At 36.9% G+C, this 24,181-nt stretch overlaps 1 protein-coding gene across 24 annotated transcripts in view; it reads right to left on the bottom strand.

Annotated features, from left to right (window-relative positions):
- Positions 1-24,181, bottom strand: part of TCF12 (transcription factor 12) — a 373,221-nt gene that overhangs the window by 213,187 nt on the left and 135,853 nt on the right. For 22 of the 24 annotated variants that reach the window (NM_001322151.2, XM_011521960.4, XM_047432971.1 and 19 more), the window contains one exon: positions 14,301-14,374. In NM_001322151.2, coding sequence (NP_001309080.1) covers positions 14,301-14,374 — 74 coding nt within the window. Of the gene's footprint in view, positions 1-5,409; positions 5,472-14,300; positions 14,375-24,181 lie in introns of all 24 variants that reach the window. The other 2 variants (NM_001322156.2, NM_001322158.2) reach the window with 1 other exon arrangement.

The following is a 24,181-nucleotide window of genomic DNA, read 5'->3' as shown; positions in this document are numbered from 1 at the left end:
TAACTGGAAAATAAAGTGTCAATAAGCACCTCTGGTGTCATTTTGATCATCACAACTAAGTTTTATTGAGTACATACTACGTACCAGCACTGTGTTAAGAATATCCATGCATTGTGTCAGTTAATTTAACCTATATTAACCTATATATCGAATAATACTATATTTCCCCCATCTCATAGACGAGACAATAAATGTGTTATTTAAGTTTCTGGTACCTAGTTAACAATAGGTAACTAATAAAAAATTAAAAAGAAGAAAATATTATTCACAATCTTGTCAATAAATTTGAAGAAGTAATACTTCTCAACTAATTCTTTCAAGCCAGGATTAGCATAACAAATTCTTAAGAAAGTACATGCAAACGTTTTTTTTTTTTTAAAAAACTACAGATCCGCCAGGTGTGGTAGCTCACGTCTGTGAACCTAGCACTTTGGGAAGCCGAGGCAGGCAGATCACTTCAGGTCAGGAGTTCGAGACCAGCCTGGCCAACAAGGTGAAACCCTGTCTCTACTAAAAAAAAAATATACAAATTAGGCAGGTGCAGTGGCGGCAGCCTGTAATCCAAAAAATGCAATTAAAAATACTTATAACATCATCAAAAATTATGAAACATTTAGTTAATAAATTAAACAGAAAATGTGCAAGACTTGTTCACTAAAAACTATCTAAAAATACTAACAGAGATCATGTCACTGCACTCCAGCCTGGGCGCCAGAGCAAAGCCTTGCCAAAAAAAAAAAAATATATATACACACACACACACACACACACACACACACACACACACACACACACATATATATACATATATATGGAAAGTAAATACTTAAATATAGAGATATATCATATGCATGAATCAAAAGCCTCCACACTGTTAAGTTCCCCCTCCAACTGATCTACAGACTCAATGCAATCCTAATCAAAATCCTACACAGCTTCGTAGAAACTGACATACTGGTTTTAAAGTTTTCAATATATATATGCAAAGAACGTAGAATAGTTCAAACAATTCTGAAACAGAATAACAAGGTGGAAGACTTACACTACCTGATACCAAGATTTACTTTAAAGGTATAGAAATCAAGACAGTTATGGTATTGGTGTGAAGATAAAATCAATAAAACACAATACAGAGCCCAGATATTGATCCTCGCATATATGGCCAACAGATTTTTAACAGAGATAACAAGTTAACTCAATGGGAGGGAAGAAAAATCTTTTCAACAAATGGTGGTGGCAAACTGGACAGCCTTATGAAAAAAAAATTAACGTTGACCTGACTTGACATCTTATACAGAAACAAACTCACAATGGATCACAGATTTAAGTTAAGAGCTAAATGTTTACACTGCCTAACTTACTATTTCTTGAGACTGCTACTAGCAGTCAAACTACATTTCTTAAGTAATATCGAGGGAATTCTATGATGGAAAAAAATGTGGGAAAAAGTTTATTCTATTCCTTTCTTTTCTTTTTTTTTTTTTTGAGACAGAGCCAGGCTGGAGTGCAGTGGCGCGATCTCGGCTCACTGCAAGCTTCGCCTCCTGGGTTCACGCTATTCTCCTGCCTCAGCCTCCCCAGTAGCTGGGACTACAGGCGCCTGCCACCACGCCCAGCAAATTTTTGTATTTTTAGTAGAGACGGGGATTCATCATGTTAGCCAGGATGGTCTTGATCTCCTGACCTTGTGATCCCGCCTCAGTCTCCCAAAGTGCTGGGATTACAGGTGTGAGCCACCGTGCCCGGCCTATTCTATTCCTTTCTTAAAGATTTATCATTTACTACAACCTATTAAAAACTAAGAAATCTAATAATAAAAAAGTCTATTTAATTTTAACTAATACATAAATGTTTTGGATCACAAAGCTCTGTATTCGTACACTGCTTGTTAATATCCTATGAAGGCCAGTTTGAGAAACTATGATCTTATTCAAAATTTTTGTTTTACACATTAGAAATCTGATGCCCATCCGAACGCAGTGGCTCATGCCTATAATCTCAGGACTTTGGGAGGCCAAGGCAGGAGGATCACTTGAGCTCAGGAATTTGGTAACAGCCTGGGCAACCTAAGTGAGACCCTGTCTCTACAAAAAATTAGCCAGATATGGTAGCACAGGCCTGTAGTCCCAGCTACTTGGGAGACAGGGGCAGAGGATCACCTGAACCCAGGGGTTCAATGCTGCAATAGGCCACGATCGTGTCACTGTACTCTAGCCTGGGCAACAGAGCAAGACCCTGTCTCAAATAAAAAAAAAGAATGGAAAGAAAGAAAGAAAGAAAGAAAGAAAAGAGAGAGAGAGAGAGAGAGAGAGAGAGAGAAAGAAAGAAAGAAAGAAAGAAAGAAAGAAAGAAAGAAAGAAAGAAAAGAAACCTCATGTCATGTCCAGAAAAAATGACCCATTTGACCAAGTTCATTTGTCTAATGAGAGAACTCAGGCTTAAATTCCCTGTTCCTTGTATTACAAAACAGATTATCATTTTCACTTGCTATACAATATGTCCTGGAGGTTTCATAAACAAATATTCCTTCTATTTCTGGACTTTTACTCTCCCCTAGGCCATCCTTATCATAGCTTTTATCATTCTACAGTACAATAATCTCTGTTTTTCCCATAAGAATGAGGACTCCCTTTATGAAATATAAACTGATGATTTTTGTTTTCCACAACTAATTTCAGTGACAAGGAAATAGTGGAATCTCAGTAAAAGCTTCATGAATGAAAGGAGCTGGGAAAAAAAACATTTCCATGTTAACAACATAAAGATGTGCATACAGAATTCCAAGAGACTACAAAACTCGAAGTAGGGAAGAAAGATACTGAGGAAAAACGATCTAAGGAAGTAAGGCAAAATTAGTGGAAAATAAACAGTAATACACACACAGCAAAAACTCAGAAAAGTCAACTCAATAAGATGCAACAGTATTACCAACATCGAGAAGATATTTGGTTCAGGACAGCTGGCACTTAATTATTTAATCACAAAATAATTTCCAGTCCTAACCACCAGAATATGCTCTGCTCCGTGCACAAAGCAACAAACTGATTATGATGTAAAATGACATTTAAATAATTATTTCATTTTATAAGAAGGTTAAAGCATCAGTTCAATATGTTGAAGGGAAACGTTTCAAGCTTGTTCTCAGAATAAAAGTGTTTAAGTATATGACAACAAAAATACATGACACAAAAATCTAACCATTATTGATGACACCAATCCTTTGGCCTATATAAGCTAATTTAGGTCTCTTAAATGCCTTGTGAGATGCATATCCTTTTAAACAGATTTGAGGAACTGAAATCTCTTCCTTTCCTAGAATGTATTAATCTGCAATCTGTTATAAGAATATAGATTTGTATAAATTTACATTCATAAGAATGTGGGTTGCCCTACTTCTTTTTCCCAATAATCTCCAAATCCCAAGACCTGCAATACAGTGAACTTTCCAAAAGTTCAACTGTGGTGGTAGACCTCTGTAATCCCAACTAATCAGGAGGCTAAGGTGGGAGAGGCACTTGAGCCTGGGAGGTCAAGGCTGCAGTAAGCCATGACTGTGCCACTGCATTTCCAGCCTGGGCGACAGAGCAAGACCCTGTTTCAAACAAACAAAGAAACAAACAAACAAACTTCTTGTTGGGCATTTAAAAACCCTAATAGTCCATCATCTTTTCAGGATATACTCCAAGAATTCAAAACAGCTACCTCTCCAGTGACCATCCAAGATTTGAAAAATTCCTAACATCTTTTTTTTTTTTTTTTTTTTAATCAAAATGGGCATGAAATTTCTCATGGGAATGTAAAAAGAAGAACAATGTATAGATTTCTATATGAGCTAAATACTGTATAAAACTTCCTCTATTAATTCTTGCACACTTCCTATGAGAAAAAGCTCTTTGGAGATGAGAAATCTGAGGCTCGGGAATTAACTCTCTTGTCCAAGGTCAAATAGAGTGGTGAAAACTAGAAGCAAACCTGTCTGATTCATCCTATGGCTCATTTATTTTAATACATAAAATACGAATTACTGCTTTTATAAGAAGTAAGATGGCAGTACCGTTATCCTGAAACTTCTAAGGCCGGGCGTGGTGGCTCATGCCTGTAATCCCAGCACTTTGGGAGGACGAGACAGGCGGATCATGAGGTCAGGAGATCGAGACCATCCTGGCTAACACGGTGAAACCCTGTCTCTACTAAAAATACAAAAAAAATTAGCCAGGAGTGGTGGTGGGCGCCTGTAGTCCCAGCTACTCGGGAGGCTGAGGCAGGAGAATGGCATGAACCCAGGAGGCAGAGCTTGCAGTGAGCCAAGATTGCGCCACCGTACTCCAGCCTGGGCGACACAGCGAGACTCCGTCTCAAAAAACAAACAAACAAACAAAAAAACTTCTAGTGACTCTGTCCTTCAAGTCCTGCACAAGTAGAAATAACTGTTCTGGGGGTCTCTTTTATAATTTGGCAAATGCAACACAGTAAAAAGGGAAAGTAATTTAGAGACAGCCTGGATAAAGTCCTAAGCATTTAATATCTGATAAGTTATCTACCTTTTCTGAGCTTCAATTCTGTCACCTCTAAAATGGAGAAGATTTTAAAAATGGCTTCTTGGTGAGCTCGTGTGAAGATCAAAGCAGGTAACATGAAAGTGTGTAAACTAAATTGTGACAAGTGCTGGTTATGATTTCATTGTTATTAATTTAAAAACCCAAGTGGGTACAAAAAAGTGTCACCCTACTTTTTATTCCCACAAATAAGCAATCTCTAAACTTAGGGAAAAAATATTAAACAGGCTGTCAAGAAAGACCTCAACAATTACAAAAAGGGACATAAAGATTCAAAGATTAATATGCTTTGATTTTTACTTGTTAACTTTAAAATCTGAACAGTTAGAAGATTAAAAAAGAAAACTATAAAGATTAGATCAGTCCTGATCAAGATGTTATTTCATGGGCCTAGAAAGTTAATCACAGTAAGGTGAGAAATTGACATGAAGGTTATTTCCAAAAAGATCCACAGCAAAGCCTCTCAGTAAGTGTTGTCCCCAGGAAGAAAGGCTAGTCTGAAAAAAACAGAAGCTTTAATTGTCTTAAAATGGAAACATGGGCAATCTGATCAGTATGTGCTTTCTTTCACTTTAAATATCTGCTAGCAAGAGATTTAAAGGTGCTTACATCATCACAACCCAATTTTTTCTTATCCAAAAACATTTAGGTTATAATTTATAGGCAGGTGCTGTTTCAAACAGAACTAAGAGTAAAAACATTTTACTCTTCTGGCTTTATTTAAACCTAACTTTAAAACACACCCTTTTTCTTACTCATAGTTTTCTTCACATTCAGAACATTCAGAAGGAGCAGTTACATAACAAAACAGAGATTAATGGGAACACAGATGCAATATATAGAAAACACTTACTTTAATTCTCTGACCCTTCTGTCTTGCTTTGCTATTTAACTGCTTCATCTCGTGTATTGTACCTGAGATCAAGAGGCATAAAATACTATTTCAAAATTCGTGTGTCCTTTCTAATTACTGTATTTGAACTCCTAGTAGCTATAAAATGTATACCTTTTTCCCCTTCAAAAATAAAAACAATAGCAAACACACAATTTTGAGAAAATATCTACACTAGAGAAGAAAAAGTAACACTAATCTTTATTACCCATCAATGCTGACAAATGGGACAACTGAGTAAAAGCTATTTTATATTTCTTTATTCACACAACTCGATTTTCCCATGTATTAAGGAAAACTATTTATCAAAATCAAACAATCTGTTTTAATACAACCATAGCTAACTTGACAAAGCCTAAATAAAACACATGAAGTTTAATTCAGGAGTTACCATTTTGTGGGTGAAGTGAGTCTACATGATTTTATATCTTTCCCAGTCACTTAGTTGTACCAGTTTTGTGTTTTCCCCTTTGTGAAATTTCTTATATAACTTTGCAATCTGATTACTATCCTCCCAATCCAAGTCTTATTTCATTATCCGTGGGTCCATGTACCATCTTTTCAGATCATCCTATTTTTTGTCACTCTTTCACCTTGGATCCATTCTTCATACCACAGTAAGTTAATATTTATAAAACATTTTGTGTATAAAATCTATTTTTAATTGGCTCCCAAAGAATAGATAACATTTTTTTCTACAGAAATGTTAACCTGCCTTATCTCGTACTATTTTCCCACAAAGTAAGCTGATTTATTATCTACCGAATTTTGTAATGAGACCACTGTACTGTTTCCATCATTCCATATTTCCAGACTTTCTTCCAGCCCTATTCAAATGCTATCTGTCCTGTAACAGTCTACTCAAACACTTCCTCCTCTATTAAGTCTTTCTTGACCATCCAAAGTAATCTCCCTCCTCTGGAATCTCACAGTAGCCAAGAAAATTATTTTCGTAATTAACTATTTGTTGCCTAATTACAGCATCTCCACTGCTGTCTTAAAAGAGTTAAGAAGTTTTTTGGGCTGTGTTTGTTTTTTGTTTTTTGTTTTGAGATCGGGTTTCACTCTGCCATCCAGGCTAGAGTGTAGTAAGGCTCATTCTAACCTCCGCCTCCCGGGCTCTAGAGATTCTCCTGCCTGAGCCTCCCGAGTAACTGGGACTACAGCCAACACCACCACACCCGGCTAAATTTTTAAGAGATGGGGTTTTGCCATGTTGCAGAGGCTGGTGTTGAACTCCTGGACTCAAGCGATCCACTTGCCTCAGCTTCCCAAAGTGCTGGGATTACAGGTGTGAACCAGCAACTTTTTTTTTTTCTTCACTACAACCTCAACCCCTGGGTTCATGTAATCCTCCCACTTCAGCCTCCTGAGTAGCTCGGACCACAGGTGCGCACCACCAGACCTGGATTTTTTTTTTTTTCTATTTTTTGTAGAGAGGGGGTCTCATTTTGTTGCCCAGGCTGGTCTCAAACTCTTGGGCTCAAGCAATCCTCCCATTTTAGCCTCCCAACGTACTGGGTTTACAGGTGTGAGCCATCACGCCCAGCCTAAAAAGTAACTCTTTAGGCAAATATGACTTACATGTCTAAGCATATTTCCTGAACTATAAGATACACATTTATTCACCTTTAACATTTAAGAAACTGAATGCATTTACAAATCTCAACATCTTAAAATTGGGGGATCAGGGTAAGTCCAACCTCCCTAAAAGCAGGCCAACTATACTGTTCTTATGCCACTGGACTCTGTTGGAGGAAGGAAACTACAGGTTGCCTCTGCCCATAGATACACTCTTAAGGCATCTGCTGTCAAATGTAAATGAACTACCCACCAGTTCCTTCTACACCTCCAGCCAGTATGACCCTGCTGAGGTCAGAATGACCTGTGTTTTTTGTATAGATAGCACATTAGAAAAACCAAGGTTCTATTATCCTATTTCTAACTCACTACCTACAAACTATAGAGAGGTTCTTAGCCAAACTCTTCCACATTAACGAAAAAATACTGAACTCCTGTTAAGAATGGAGAGAGCGCTAAACAAAATTAAAGTTCCCTTTAGCCATATCTGGCAGGAATGGTCCAGGATTTGCAAGAAAAATGACATTAATCTCATCCAGATAATCTTATAGGCTGATTTTACTTTCCCATAGAATCTGAAAGCTTATGTTTACTTTCACTGAGTTTTTATTTATTTTTGTTTCCCTTATCCCAAGGCCCCAATCTATGGCTTTGTCTATGAACTTTAGAAGACTGGAGAAATACTTAAATCCTTGTACCCACATATTTTCATTTTCAACCTAGTTGGGTCTATGGTCCGTTTTTGTTTTTAACAACTGGTCTGTGAAAAAAACCACTGCTGATGCTTTTTAAATGAACTGAATCCTCATATCCCTTTATTGCTATAGGTATCAGAAATCATAGCATGTATTGAAACAAAAAGCCTCAGAACATACCTATTACTATCCCTTAATAAAAAAAAAATCCCGGATATCATCTTGTGCTGAATCATATACAGCAGCTAAATCAAGTATTTTAAAGCTAAATCATCACCACACAACTGGTTTTCCCCTTTCCACTGACAGGTATAAGCCCCAAACTTTAGTGAGGAAGTTATTATTAGTACCCACCCCCTTTTAATCAATGAAAAAAGAAAAAAAGATTAAAGTAAAAACACATAACTTGCTCAGAGTCACAGAGCAATGAGGCAGAAGTGCCAGAAATAGAACCCAAGACAGCTTGATTTTAATGCTCAAGCTCTTAAATTCTATGCTATTCTACCCAATACACTATACTTGCTAAACTGTTCTATCATATCATGTCCCATGTCCTCTTTTATCAGCTGCAGACCCTCTTCTATTTTCACCTTTCTCCTCTCTCTTTTCCCATTCCTTCAGTATATGGCAGAAAACGTAAAGTTCTTTGAGTTGGGAAGTACTAAAGTCAAGGGGTTAAAAAGCACTAGCATAAGATTCAGAATATCTGAGTTCTGTCATGCCAGAGGCTGTCATTAACTAGTCACATAGCCTAGCCAAATCTCTACATACAGCACAAATCTACACCTGGTCAAATCTCAAACATGTCGTTTCAGTTTCCTCATGTAGGAAATAAAGAGACAGAACATATATAACCAATGCATCTTTCAGTTTTGAAAATTCTATGATACTGTAAAACACAGAGGGAAGAAAGAGCAAAAAGATAAATGACTGTTTCATTCTGCAAGCCATAATACAGACAGAAGAGAAAACCATGGTGGACATTTAGCAATTCATTTTTTTAAAAAGCACTCAAACTCTACTCAACTTAATATTGCTTCTTTTTTAAAAAAATAACTACCATAATAGATTACATATAAACTGAAAAATGTTCATGATTAAAATGCCAACTCTTGATCACTGATGATGCCTATAAATGTAATTCCTATCAGTGGTTTCCTATCAGTGAACTCAATTCTATCTTTTAAACTAAGGAATGACCAACTCTGTATCTTAGAAAAGAGTATCAATATACTCCTCTCTCCTACTCCCACCCCAGGATGCAAACCTCAATGGTACTTTAATACTCTACTCCAGAGCTTGGCGTAGGTTGGCTAACACAGTTAAAAAGGCAGAGAAACCAAGATGACCTGGCCTCTTGACATTTCCACAAACTCATATAACTCGACATTCTAGAAACAGAATTTGTACATCAAGAAATATAACCATGAAAATGTACTTCAAATTATTATAAATAACAATATAATAGCAGTTCTCACTTATTATATCAATAAATGAAATACTTCATACCTATTATCACATTTCATCTTCACCAAAACCCTACAAAATACATGTAAAATTATCATAATTTTAGAGACCAGAAAACTAAGACACATAGAAGTAACTTTCCCATGGTCACACAGTACAAGTTTCCAAATCACTTATTATTACCATTAATACCACCACCACCTACTTCAAGCTTCACCTTAAATCAACTTTGATTCTTTCCTTCCTCAACCTCCCAGCCTAGTTAATCTAGTAAATCTGATGATTGTTCCCGAATTTGATTATATTCAGCAAACATGTATAGAGCACTCATCATGTATAAGGTGTTATACTAGAGAGACTGATAACTTTTATATCCAAGTTTGGCAGGAAGAGACTGTTGCTTTCCCAAGAAAGAAATAAACAGTTGAAGAGGGGAAATTGATTTTATTTATGTCCTTCATACATTTAAAATAAATAAAAGTAGTTAAATTAAGCATGACTGAGTCGGCAAATAATTCTCATTTATTACACTTAGAATACAGCATATTTGCAAATGTATCCATGTGTTTAAATTTGTGTAATTGTTAAATATAGATCTAATGGGTGAATTTTGAGATACACAGGTTTAAAGCCAACACTTATATAGCACTCACCACATATCAGACATTGATCTATGCAATTTCCATATATTGCCTCATTTAATCCTCAACAACTTCATGAAACAGATATCATTATCCCCATTTCACAGATGACTAAACCGAAGTACACTAGATTTAAATAACTTGTCCAGAATCACACAGGTAGTAAGTGGCAGAGTTACGATTTATACCCAAGCAGTATGATTTCACAGTCTGCCCTCTTAAGCACAGCCTTCTGAAGAGAAAAAAAAAATCTGAAACTAGAGTAAGTCATTAACACCTTAGTGAACAAGAACAACCACAATATTCTCTGGCCTTTATGCCTGGTACACCAACATTTCTATGCAATAAAGAATAAAAAGCAAGGGAGAGAGGGAACAAACTCATTAACTAGATCTCTTGCCCATGTCTAAACTACCTGAGATTTTAATCACTCCTTTCAGTCTCAGGTGCTTTACCTTTATCACCACATTCACAAATTTCTAAAACTGGAAGTGCTATTCACAACATGATTCTATCTATATGTTCATGTGTGTGTCTATGCTCTCTGCACAGGTAGACAGCAGATGAAGAGTGCAGAAACCAGGACTCTAACAAAAGTAGAGAGGAAGGAACAAATGTTTGTTCCTTCCCTCTGGGTGTCTCAAACATGCTGAGACATGCTTAGGAAATGTGAAATCCACATTGCCTAAGAATGCTGACCATGCCTACCATTTCTTCTATAACCACTCTTTTTTTTTTTTTTTTTTTTTTTTTGAGACGGAGTCTCGCTCTGTCGCCCAGGCTGGAGTGCAGTGGCGGGATCTGGCTCACTGCGAGTTCCGCCTCCCGGGTTCACGCCATTCTCCTGCCTCAGCCTCCCAAGTAGCTGGGACTACAGGCGCCCACCACTACGCCCGGCTAATTTTTTGTATTTTTAGTAGAGACGGGGTTTCACCGTTTTAGCCGGGATGGTCTCGATCTCCTGACCTCGTGATCCGCCCGCCTCGGCCTCCCAAAGTGCTGGGATTACAGGCGTGAGCCACCGCGCCCGGCCTATAACCACTCTTAGGTACAATGTCTATTTTTATGTCAACCTAGCGAAACCTCTTCACTGAATGGATTGCTGTAGGTACTTCTGATAACCAGAAACTTAATCACCTCTAAACTGCGAGGCTACTTTTCTGGTGGATTTGGTAAAAGCAAGGGCAGACACACAGACTGGAACCATGCTAGAGTGACTTTTCCTAATTCTGAAAGAATGGGGATAAGCCTAACACAGAGATAAGAAGTTTGTGACCGCTTAATACATAACTCAGGTGGAGCTCATTTATGCATCAAGGCTACTATAGTAGAATGGTATCTTACAATTAAAGTCAGGACCCTGTAAGGCAAATAGTGTACATAGCAAAAATTTCCCTTGAAAAGCTATTAAATAAAGAATAAGTTCAATCAATATGACTTTGTGTAACTATTCCCATACAGTAACATATAACATACAATATTAATAGGGTTCATCTGCCAAATATGGTTTCATATTATTGTAAAGAAAGTATTGTTTCTCCCTTATAGTTTGGCATGGGAATGGGAGAGGGATAGAATGGCAGGCAGCTCAGATAGTTCAATTCATGTTAAGTTTAAAGCAGGTATATTGTATCTCCAACAAATTACTCATTTTGCAGTTTCTAATACCCTTTTTTTGGCCTACTAAGCATTTTCAAATGTTATAAAAAGTATAATAAAAAATTTCTATTTAGTGATGTTACTGAAAATCAAATTATTTTTAAATAATGGAATCTGCTGATAGAAATGTAATATTTATATAATATGATAAAGTCTAAATAAATTTCATTTACTTGATTTCTACTGAAGTATCTGCAACTACATTGTTTAAGTTGACAAATTTTTAACTAACAAGTCAAAACTAGTCTTTAGCCAACATTAATATTTATTTTTGAATTTAAGAACCTCAATGTACTTAAATAAGAATTTAAGAAATTCAATATACTAAAATAGGAGAATGAAGTACTTTAGTTGAGATTCTTATCAACACAATTATACCCATTTATGCTTATGATTATGAAAGAAATGGTCAAGATGGTGAATACTGTTAAAAGATGAAACCCCAAAAGCTGATAATTTCCCTATAAAGTAGTACTGAGGGAGGCTTCAAAGACAACCATAAAGTTCTCCTTGGCAAGAAGAGTTGCCAAGGAGAAACTGGATCCAGATTTTTGTTTGAAAATGATACGAAAAACTTCTTAACTATCTCACCAAACCTTTTAGGTTTAGACGATGACTAGGATAGAAGGAGAAAAATTAGTGAAAGAGTGGATTTCAATGGGAACAAAAATAAAGAAGGGTAGCATTAAATCTTCACTCTATCTGATCTCTCAATAGACAGGTAGAAATACATATGTGGTTCTATGGTTCTATGAAAACTAGCTTACTATATAATCAATTTAACTTTTCACTGTACATAATACATACTAAAAATAAATAAACTAAGTAAAATACAGCATTTCACATTTGACCTATAAATAGCAAAAAGAAAAGCAAGATTTGCTTTGGATTTCATGTCTGAAGGTAAACTTAATTTCAAGATCATAAATTACATAAGTGTTTGGATACATTAGTACTTTTCTTCTCCTAAAATCCTATGCAGCACTCAAGGGGGGTGGTGGGGGGGCGGGGCGGTGAAGAAAGCCTGAAAGAGAGAGAAATATAAGGCACCCAGGCACCATTTAATGCATTCTAAGAGATAACAAGTTATTACAAAGTAACTCAAGCCTCTGAAAAAAATAATCCAATATTAATAAGTAGTACTGTGAGTTTCCCACTACATAAAACTCCTACCTTCAAAATCTAAACTAGATCCTATCTCACATATTCACAATATTACTCAAAGAATCAGAAACGTTTAAGAGTGGAAGGAAATTTGGGTATCAACCAGTTTAAGTAGCCTCAAGACAAAAACAATGCGTCCAAGATTAAATAGCTAAGACAAAAATAGTGTGTCCAAGATTAAATGGCTGGTTCACAATACAGTTGATAGTAAAATCCAAGTCCTGACATACTCAGCATAGGGTTCTTTACACTACAATGTAGCTTTCTCAGCCTCTGATTCTCAAAAGTGAAACACAAAAACCCACCTTTAACAGCCTCTTTATATATCTTTTTGGATTCCATACGACTATCCCAGTTCTTTCCAAAGGATTTAAAATAAATTAAACATGGGCTACAGCCAGATATAACAGTAAAACCCCGTATTTTAAAAGGTATTTTAACTCAGCATTTTTCAATGCAAACTTGTGTAAACCATACTGAGACTATGCATTTCAGTCACTTACTCAGTTTTCCTCCCATTAAGGCAATTTGCTTCTAGGATTAACTACCCATAAATCTTATGCTTGTCTCTTTCTTCTCTTGGTTAATTCTGAGAGAAATGAGAAATTTATTCACTTAAAGTATGGCCTTTTGGAAAAGTCTTTCTCTCTCTCTCTTTTTTTTTTTTTTTTTTGAGATGGAGTCTCACTCTGTGGCCCAGGCTTGAGTCCAGTGGCATGATCTTGGCTCACTGCAACCTCTGCCTCCCAGGTTCAAGCGATTCTCCTGCCTCAGCCTCCCGAGTAGCTGGGACTACAGATGCCCACCCCCACGCCTTGGCTAATTTTTGTATTTTTAGTAGAGATGGGGTTTCACTATGTTGGCTAGGCTGGACTCGAACTTCTGACTTGTAGTGATCCACCTGCCTCAACCTCCCAAAGTGCTGGGATTACAGGCATGAGCCACCATGCCCAGCCTGGAAAAGTATCTCTTAACCTCGTCAGTTTACTAGAGAAAGTCTGGGAGCAGAGTGCTTACTTTTATTCCAATTCTTTGATCTAATTTTCCACCTCCTGGTCTCATTTTATAAAGCTTTGGGGGTTTTTTGTTTTTGTTTTTGTTTTTTGCTGGAAAGGGCTCTAACCTTGTGACCTCAGTGTGTAGAAAGTTGACTTGGTCCTATTTTCTCTTAACTGTTAACTAAGAAATGTCATCTGTTATGTCTGTTTTGATATGCTTCCAAGAGGCAGGGCTGTTGAGTTCCTGATGCAAAGGGCTGATGACTGTTGAAGCAAGGATGAGGGAGAGAGGCTAGAAGTTAGTATGTTGAAAGCCAATGCCATCTCTCAAAGCAAATAAACAACACATAAAGAAAAATGGCTAAATACATATGGAGAGCACTTATGCATTCTAAGCTCTTTAGTAGAGTACTGTAGGCAGTTCATGTGTACAAGTAACACCAAGAATATTTAACTGTAGGAAATTAAATTTCCAAAGTTTGACAGCTTATAAAAAGAACTAAATGTAACAAAAAGGTACTAGGTATTCTACTGCATTTCCATGAAAAGAAATTAATTTTCATTTCTCATAAGAAACAGCATATATGAAAGAAATTACGTAGTCTGCCAAATTACAGCTTTAATCAAGGGTTGATCAGCAAACTTACTCTAGATGAATCATAGGAAGGACTTGGTTGACCACTTGTTCCCCAAGATGTTGTACCTCCTCTTTCATCAATACCTAAAAAGAGAAGAAAATAAAAGATATATCTAAAAACATACTTTTGTGGATTTTTTTGGTACGGGACAGCAGAGTACAATTTAGCAAGTGGTATTTGCGCTTTCGTGGAAGAGCTAAGTATCAATCCTTGCTTCAGAAACCTGTAAAATATAAGTTACTGCAAAGTATCTTCATCATTGCTCCATCAATCCTCATGCAATACCCTATGTAAATTATAGTAATTCAGAATCAAAATATTTCTTTGCAGACTTTAGAATGGGGCATAGTCTCTCCATCCAGCACCACGCCCTGCACTGCTACTTCTAGGAGTAGATGAACCCCCAAACTTTGTCTGGTTTAGTACTGCCTACATGAAAACATGAATAATTCATTTTTCATAGTTAAGCCCTAGAAAATGAAGCAAGACAAACAATCATTCAATTTAATAAAGTTGGTTTCTTTCTGATCAGTGATCAGATATTCTTAACTGATGACATCAAACTAAATCTAACTATATCAACCATATCAAATCAACATTAGTTATATAAAATCAAAATGACATGAAAACTCACCCTTAGTAATTTTGTGGGTGACACTTCCATCTCTTCTAAAATTATACACAATTTGATTTCAAATAAGCAGTTCCACTCTTATGAAGGTGGCAAAAGAAAATTCACAGTGAGAAAGAATTAGGTGCCATAACCAACAAAACAATTTATTGTGCATCCTTAATGCATCTTCTGACACTTGGGCTCCATTATTTTCACCTCCGAATCAGTCCCCAGAAAAAGCTGGAAGACTTGGAGATCTCTTAATCCAGCCATTTCTACCTCTTCTGTTTTGAAGACTCCAGTCTTTTTCATCCTTGACTGCAAGGAGGGTACACTTCTCTAACCCCTTCTGAGTTTCATTCTATGATGAAATTCATCAACACAGAAATAGTTGACTTCTTTCTTTCATTCTTTCATGAGAACAGCCTAGATACTACAATGATAACATTCTGCTAAGTTTAGAAATTATCTTTCTTTCAAGATATTCCTGGAAGTCCCTCTGTAATTTCCCTGTAATTTAGGTGAGAATGTGGTATGTAATAAATTAAATGCCACAAATTCTCCATTAATTTGCAATGATTACTAAGGCTCTTTTATAGTGACACAATTGCCAAATTGAAAGGATGGGTAACAAAAAGCAGGGAAGGGGGAGGGGTCAGTTTCCAAAGTAGAATGTACTAATTACTAACTTAGTTATTAGGACTCTATTATTTTTATGAATCTGTACTTCCTGTATCAAGTGACTAAAGTATATTTTAATAACTTTTTTTAAAAAGTTGATACAAAAGATGAGTATCTAGTATAGACAACATTCCAGGCACAATTTCAAGTGAACCAGAGGCTTTGAAAACACAGAGATTACGTGAACAGTGTTTTGTTCATTCCTGTGGAGCTAGTATTAAAGTTCCAAATTTAAGAGATATTCTATGAGTTTGGGGAATGTCATGTAAAAAACACTGTTACCGGCCGGGCACCGTGGCTCACGCCTGTAATCCTAGCACTTTGGGAGGCCGAGGCGGGCAGATCACAAGGTCAGGAGATCGAGACCATCCTGGCTAATACGGAGAAACCCCGTCTCTACTAAAAATACAAAAAATTAGCCAGGTGTGGTGGCGGGCGCCTGTAGTCCCAGCTACTCAGGAGGCTGAGGCAGGAGAATAGCTTGAACCTAGAAGGTGGAGGTTGCAGTGAGCCGAGATTGTGCCACTGCACTCCAGCCTGGGTGACAGAGCAAGACTCCATCTCAAAAAAACAAAAAAAAAACACTGTTACCATCTCTCCAGTATCATTAGACACCAGTGAGCTATCTTCCAAGCATTTTCTCTGCAACCAACACTGTAGAATAGCAGCAAGTATTCCTCTGAGACTCAATCCAAGAAAAAGATGACCATTAACCTACAAAATCCACTAATATATGGAACTGCATATAATTTTATGAAAAGTTGTATTTTAAAAAATCACTTTTATTGAACATATAATGGTAAGTGATTTCGATGAATCTTGTCCTGATGAAAATAATCAAACCATAACTTAGTCTTTTTATGACTTCATATTTTCTTATATCAAATGACTAATAAATATGAGGCTTATGTGTATTTTAATTTTTATCTCATTTAGAGGCAGCGTTCATGTTCTGTCATCCAGGCTGCAGTACAGTGGCATGATGATAGCTCACTGCAACCACAAAATCCTGGGCTCAAGTGATCCTCCTGCCTCAGCTTCCTCAGTGCTAGGACTATAGGAACATGCCACAATGCTCAGCTAATCATTAATTTTTTTTTTTATTTTGTAGAGACAGAGTCTTACACTATGTTGCCTAGGTTGGTCTTGAACTCCTGGCCTCCAGCGATTCTCCCTCCATGGCCTCCTAAAGTGCTGGGATCACAGGTGTGAACCACTATGCCCAGCTTTGCATGTATTTTAAATACATTTGTAAAAACAGAGAGAGAGGAAAGATGGGTGCCAGTTACAGAGAACATCTCAAGCAAAATTCAAGAGACACACAAAATTATGTGAAACTACATATTCAATTTTCATCAAGTGACTCTACTTCTATAAAATAAAGAAAAAGCAAAGACTAATGAAATAAAATGGTAATTAATTGGGTGATGGCATCACCAGCTAAAGAGTAGTACATACCACTGATACTGGAAATGACAAGGGGCTCAAAGAATGCTATAGAATAACAAGAATCTGGCTAGGTTTTAAACTCAAGCTCTGTAGTTTTATTGTTAACATATCCAGACTCTGAGTAAAAGGTCGTGGCTGGCACTGACAAAGGCAAGAGTCATCTTTTAGAATCAATGACTCCTTTCTGCTAAAGACAATGGCTGTACAAACACAGAAATATGACAGGAATAATAAACTTTCCAAAGCTTCAGCCGTAAGACCAAGGTAAGCAGAAAAAGGAAATTACACACAGAAGATAAAACTTAACACAGATATTATACAAATTGACCAAAATCTGAAAAAAATACCTATTGACAAGAAAATACACCACAGTTGCAATACAGTGATGAGAAGTAACATTTTTCCTGTTATTTCTGAATTATCATTCCCATATTATTTTCATCATTCCCATTTCTAGTATATGCATGCGAATTCAACAATTTCAGAGAAGTTAGTTCCTTGACTCATAAACCAAAATGGCAGATGTAAGAGAAAGTTCAGCAATAATTAATGATAGAAACACTTTTGAGCCTTATTTGACTTTCTAATAAATTTTTTCCATTTCTATTCAACAGGATTAAAAGGGGTGATCAATAACAGAAAGACGTAAATTATTTTTTTCCTTGTTAACCTTTTATATAGATAATCTCTTAGTACCTGGTTTTCTGAATGGAATCAATTAAGTCAAATGTAATATATTCTGATTCTATGAGCTCCATTTTTAAAAGCATGCTGTTTTAACTTAGTATTTTCCAGTAAGGAACATTAAATTCTAGACCTCGTATCTAAAAACAACAGTTTGTGAACTTAACAAAAGCAATCCGCCTCTTTCTTTTGTGAAAACATTTAACAAGAAAAGTAACTAAGAGCAATCATAAATTACTATATATACAGGCAGTTCCCTAAAAGGCTGATACCTTAAAGAAGGAATAGAAAGGTAAAATTCAAGTTTTTAAGGTTTCAGAGTATAAGACTCTTAGAGGAACAGGTAAACTTCTTGCCCAAGTCCAACATCTGCCATTACTCCCTTTTCTAGGAAGAACACAGATTTAGACTACCTTCTTATGCTCTACTCCCATCTTAGTATTTGAATAACAGTATTTTCTTTCTAGTGTCAATCAAAAACTATCCCACAGCCTCTCTCCTACTTCTTCCCTTTCATCAAGCCACCAGAGTCCTATGGGCATCTCTAGGTTTTGATCCACTAGCAAAAACTGGAAACTGGAATTTTTTTTTTTTTTTTTTTTGGTGGGAGGAGATGCTTTTCTATGCCCTAAGCACCTATTGTGTTTCCCTCCACCCTCCCCCCAGCCCCCCACCACATATGAGCCCTGTAAACAAATTATTGTTAACACTGCAGAGTTTGAGTAAGTAAACCATCATTAAAGAATTGGTGAGACTTAGGCAAGACCTGCCTGAAAGTAAAAGGGAAGAATTAGGAACAAACCTGCTGACATGAACACCAGTTCCTTCTCTGCCCATTTGCCACTACCAGACCTATCACTAAAGACTCCGCCACCCTGAACCAAGACTAGGGTAAAGTGAGAAATAAGACAGGAAATGGGAAAATATTTTCAGTTAGTAGTGGTGAGTCTGATGACCCAAGAAAGAATGAAAGGATGAAACAGGGAGACAGCATACAAGAATGAGAGAAATGGTTAGGATGTCCCTGCAGCAAAAGCAGTAAGAAAAGCAATTCAATCTGGCCATACTGCTAGGGTATCATAAATGAGAGCCCATCCCTGTGGGAAAGAGACACACATACAGTTGGGAGCAAGGGCACAGGGAAAATCACATACACATTTCTCTCTTTTTCTCCCCCCACCCGCTGGTGCACATGTGCACTCTGCCTTTAGTAGCACTGAAATCAAATTTTTATTCTAGAAAGTAAAATGTACTCCAAAAATATCAAATCTCAGCACTGTCATAAATAAGGGAAACATAACATATTTTGCAGGATTGCCATCTGCTGTAGGGGGATCCAATAAATGATTTGATGAAAGAATTCTGACTAGAGATAGCTATATCAGATAATCAAAGCTATGAATGTGTCTATTTTTAATAGTGTCTTTATTCAATTCTATTTGTAGAGTAAGGATATTCCTTTAGATAAGACTCAAAGGCTGCAATCAATTGTAAACTAATATACACCTAAAAAACCAACACCAAGATTTTTTATTGTATTTTTCACATTTTAGACACTCATGAAATAAATCTATGAATGTATTTTCCCAGACATTCATTGTGAAATAGGATCAGTTAGAATATAATAACAAGTGCTTTGTTATGCTACACATTAGTAAAAAAGGGAAAAGCTAGGAAAATATTAAAATTGCAAGGGAATTTAATAGAAGTTAAAACATGCTACCTCATCTAAAGTATATAACATTAGTTATAGACTTTTTTACTTATAAAAAATTTAGGTTCTGTGCAGTGAATTGTCAAATAAAACAGTCTAAAAAACACATATGTAAGAAAGTAAGTCCGGTGGAAAGATTAGAAGGAATCACCCTTTCCGGTCATCTTTAATAATCCAATCAGAATTTTTGTTTGGCACTGTTGAAACCAAAGATTTACAAGTACAGATGTTCCATTAAAGTTTTTAGTGCCACAGTACAGTACAATAAGGTAATGAACACATGGCAAATTTCATTCAAAAAAATGACTAATTTTGAAAATGACTTTCATACATAGATTTTGCTATATTATTGTTACTAGCTATATCACCCTGATACAAATGCCCTGTAAAGATACAAAAGGAAAACCCAATGACTGATTTAATCAAAGAAGTAAGAGTACAGGGCCAAAAGGAAATGCCAAGTCTATCTCTTTAAGAAAAACAGAAACTGCCTGATGGCCAGGAATTGAAAGTAATACGTTCCCAGGGGTCGACTTGGGAATTGTTTAATGGGAACTATATAGTGATATGGTGGTCACTGTATTTTGAGGACTTGTTCTGACTGTCTGAACAGACATTCCAAGACTGACAAAGGCTCTTGAGCTACCTTTAAAACTCCCCTAAATTAGCTGTCAAGTTTCTAGAAAGAAGGAAGGGCCCTCCCAACGTACCTGAGAACCAAGTATTCTCCCAATCTAATATACCAAAGCCCTGTATCTGAAGACCAATGCCAGTGTTTTCTTCCATAGAAGCACTACAAACGTAGTTTTAAGAAAGGAAAAACAAAAAACAAAACGTTGATGCTATTTTTAACACAATCAAATCATCTCTGACCTGCATTACTGTAATAGTCTCCTAAATGTTTTCCCTTCTTCTTGCCCCTCCTACTAGAGCAACCTTTTAAAAACAAGCCAAATCATGTCCATCCTGTGCTCAAAACCTACCAATGGCTTCCCAACTCATTCAGAATTACTAATAAACCCAATGGTCTACAATGTTTTACAGGTTCTGCCTCCCACCTCTCTGAACTCATCTCCTACTGTTCTTTCTCTTCTAATAGTTACTATAAATCCTAGGGCTGGCGGAAAGAAAATATCTAGCTAGCTTGCTATCAACTACATAAAGGCTCTGGGGAGTAAACAAAAACAGGCTGATTGGGATGAAAATATAAACTTGAAAGAAGAGACCAGAATGGGTGAGTTTCTCTTTTAATCAGCTTTCAGGGACCAGCACAGGTGAGTTTCCCATTCTGAAAGCTTTCTCCTGCAGGCAAGCAGCAATAACCTCTAGTAACTAAAATTCCAACAGAAACCCCATTGTCTTTTTGGCCTGAAGGAAAAGAGGACAGAGACAGGACAACCACAGTCACTAGAAAGTGAGGATAGAATCCCAAAAGGGAGAAGGCCAGAAAAGAGAGGTCCCAAATTTTTGGTTTATCTCTGCCCACATCTTTGGCTGAGTCCTGGAACACCATTCACAGGGCAGGCACAAGGCAGTTTGTAGCAGAGACTAAAAGAACCGAATTGAGATCTGAGCAGCTACCAACTTCAGGCAAGAGATAATTTTTGCTATGAGTCTAACCAAAAGCAAATGGCTCACTAAAACAAATAAATCAAAACTCTTTGGAAGAACATGAAAATAAGCCACAATTTCCACAAATAACACTCATAATATCCAAAATTCTTTGACAGTAATATGTAACCCAATCTCAAGGGAAAAGATAATCACCAGAGGCCAACAGCAAGATGACCCAAAGTAAAATTTTCAGACAAGGACATTAAAGCAGATGCTGTAACTATGCTCAATAAAGTGAAAGATACATGCTTTTAATGAAAAAAAAAAAAAAGTGAAAATCTCACGAAGAAAAAGAAAACATTAAAAAAAACTAAAATTAAGCCAGGTGTGGTGTCTCTTTCCCGTAATCCCAGCACTTTGGGAGGCCAAGGCAGGTGGATTGCTTGAGTCCAGGAGTTTGAGACCAGCCTGAGCAACATGGCAAAACTCTATGTCTACAAAAAAATTAAAATTAGCCAGGCACGGCAGTGTGCTCCTGTAGTCCCAGCTACGTGGGAGGTTAACATTGGAGGATTGATTGGAGCCCGGGAAGCAGTGGGTGCAGTGAACTGAGATTGCATCACTGCACTCCAGCTTTGGTGACAGAACGAGATTCTCTCTCATAAATAAATAAATTAATTAAAAATAACTAAAATTGGCTGGGTGCAGTGGCTCAAGCCTGTAATCCCAGCACTACGGGAGGCTGAGGCAGGTGGATCACCTGAGGTCAGGAGTTCGAGACCAGATTGACCAACATGCTGACACCCCATCTCGACTGAAAATACAGAAAAGTAGCTGGGAATGGTGGTGGGCGCCTGTAATCCCAGCTACTCAGGAGGCTGAGGCAGGAAAATCGCTTGAACCCAGGAGGCAGAGGTTACAGTGAGCTGAGATTGTACCATTGCACTCCAGCCTGGGCAACAAGAGAGAAACTCTGTCTCAAAACACACACACACACACACACACACACACACACACACACCCCTAAAACTAAGTATCTGAAATTTAGAAAGAAATTTCCTGGATGGTCTTAAGAGTAAATGGAGATAACAGGGGTAACAGTAAGTGAACGTGATGAGAGATCATCAGAAATTATCCAATTGATAAAAAGAGAAAAAGGATTAAAAGAAAACAAACAGGGCCTCAGAGACCTAAGGGAAGATATTTAAAAGACTAACATAGGTATAATGAGAGAACAAAGAAAATATGGTAGAAAAAAGTGTTTGAAGAAATAAGGCCAAAAAATTCACAAATGCAGTGACAGACACAAACTTACTGATTAAAGACTGTACTCAGTGAAACCCAGAGAGTATAAATAAGAAGAAAACCATACATAGACACAACATAGTCAAGCTGCTGACAACCCAAAAATACAGAAAAGCTTGAAAATGGCCAGAAAGTGACATACTACATTGAAAGTAACAACATTTCAAATAACTAAGAACTTGTCTTCAGAAACTATGAATGCCAGCAGATGTGAAAAAAAAAATCTTTAAAGTGCTTGGGGTTGGGGGATGTGGGAGAATAATTATCAACCAATTCTATACTCAGCAAAAATATCCTTCAAGAATGGAGTTGAAATAAAGACCTTTACAAATAACAGAAAATTAAGAACTCATTACCAGTATAACTTTGGTATAAGAAATATTAAAAGAAGTTCTTCAGGCTGAAGGATAATCATTATTATTATTATTTTTTGAGACAGAGTTTTTGCTCGTCACCCAGGCCAGAGTGCAGTGGCGCGATCTGAGCTCACTGCAACCGCCGCCTCCAGGTTCAAGCGATTCTCCTGCCTCAGCCTCCCAAGTAGCTGGGATTACCGGCGTGCGCCACCACACTCGGCTAATTTTTGTGTTTTCAGTAGAGATAGGGTTTCACTATGTTGGCCAGGCTGGTCTCGAACTCCTGACCCCGGCTTGATTCGCCTGCTTCGGCCTCCCAAAGTGCTGGGATTACAGGTGTGATCCAACGCACCTGGCCCAGGTTGAAGGATAATGTTATCAGAGGAAGACCTGCATCCTAGGGAATAGTATCATATATAATAAATAAAAAGACTAATTTTTCCTTTAATGTCTTCAAAACACATAGAGCTTAGGAAAGAAAAAATAATTTTCTCTCCTAAGAGTTACAATGCATTCAGATGTAATACACATGATAACTATAGCATAAAGGAAGGCAGTAAATAGACCTATAATAAGGTCAAGAGTTCTGCCTTTTATGTGAAGTGGCACAATATTAACTCTAAATAGCCTTTGAGAAGTTAATGATGTATGTTAACATCCCTAGAGACGCTACCAAAAAAAAAAAAAAAAAAAAAAAAAAAAAGCAGAGGCATTGCAAAAAAGCCAGCTAATAAAAGGAGTCCTAAGAAAATCCCACCCCAAAAGAATGGAGATACAGTAAAACAAAATACTGTTGGAATACACAGAAAACAAACAAATTAGTAGACCTAAATCCAACCATACAATAAAATATTCCACTTCTGTCTGGGAAAGAAGACAGGGAAGCAATCAAACAGATACTCCTCTTTTCAGTGCGAACACACCCCATTGCTCTGTGAGCTCATAAAGTTCATGTTGCTGCCCTTCTTGAACAAGACAATTATATTTGGGTTTGGTGGTTAGAAAAGGAAGATGAAAACATTACAAATGGACTTACACATTAAACAAAAAACATACAACACTATACCAATGTGAAAGTGCAAAGGTTTTTTGTTTTTATGGTACCCATTAGGATCATAAGTCAGTACCAATAAAGCAGTTTCTGCATAACTATCAAGTACATTTTAATGAATTTTTGCTGATTACCTAACACAATTTGCTATTTAAAAACAGCTGTGTGAGCAATTACTATTATTAACTTAATTCCACAAACAATTCTATTCATTTCCTGTAATGAGGCCCATGTACTCCCTGGTTCAAGTCTTAGACCATTAATTCCTATAATGACAACACACTCTGCCTCTCTCAGAGGAACTCTAAAAATTTTCCTTTCATATTTTCCTTATATTTAAAAATCTCCCTCATAGTACAAAACTGCCACTCAATTCTTTCCATACTCACAAAAGAAAAATTTATATTCATCACCTTCACTTCTTACCATTTACTCACTCATTAATTAATCTCCTGCTATCTATCATCTTCTGGATCACACCAG

This window comes from Homo sapiens, chromosome 15 (assembly GCF_000001405.40).
Source record: "Homo sapiens chromosome 15, GRCh38.p14 Primary Assembly".
NCBI classification, from domain to species: domain Eukaryota; kingdom Metazoa; phylum Chordata; class Mammalia; order Primates; family Hominidae; genus Homo; species Homo sapiens.
The sequence above is the reverse complement of the archived record's forward strand: the minus strand, read 5'-3'. Positions and strand labels throughout refer to the sequence as shown.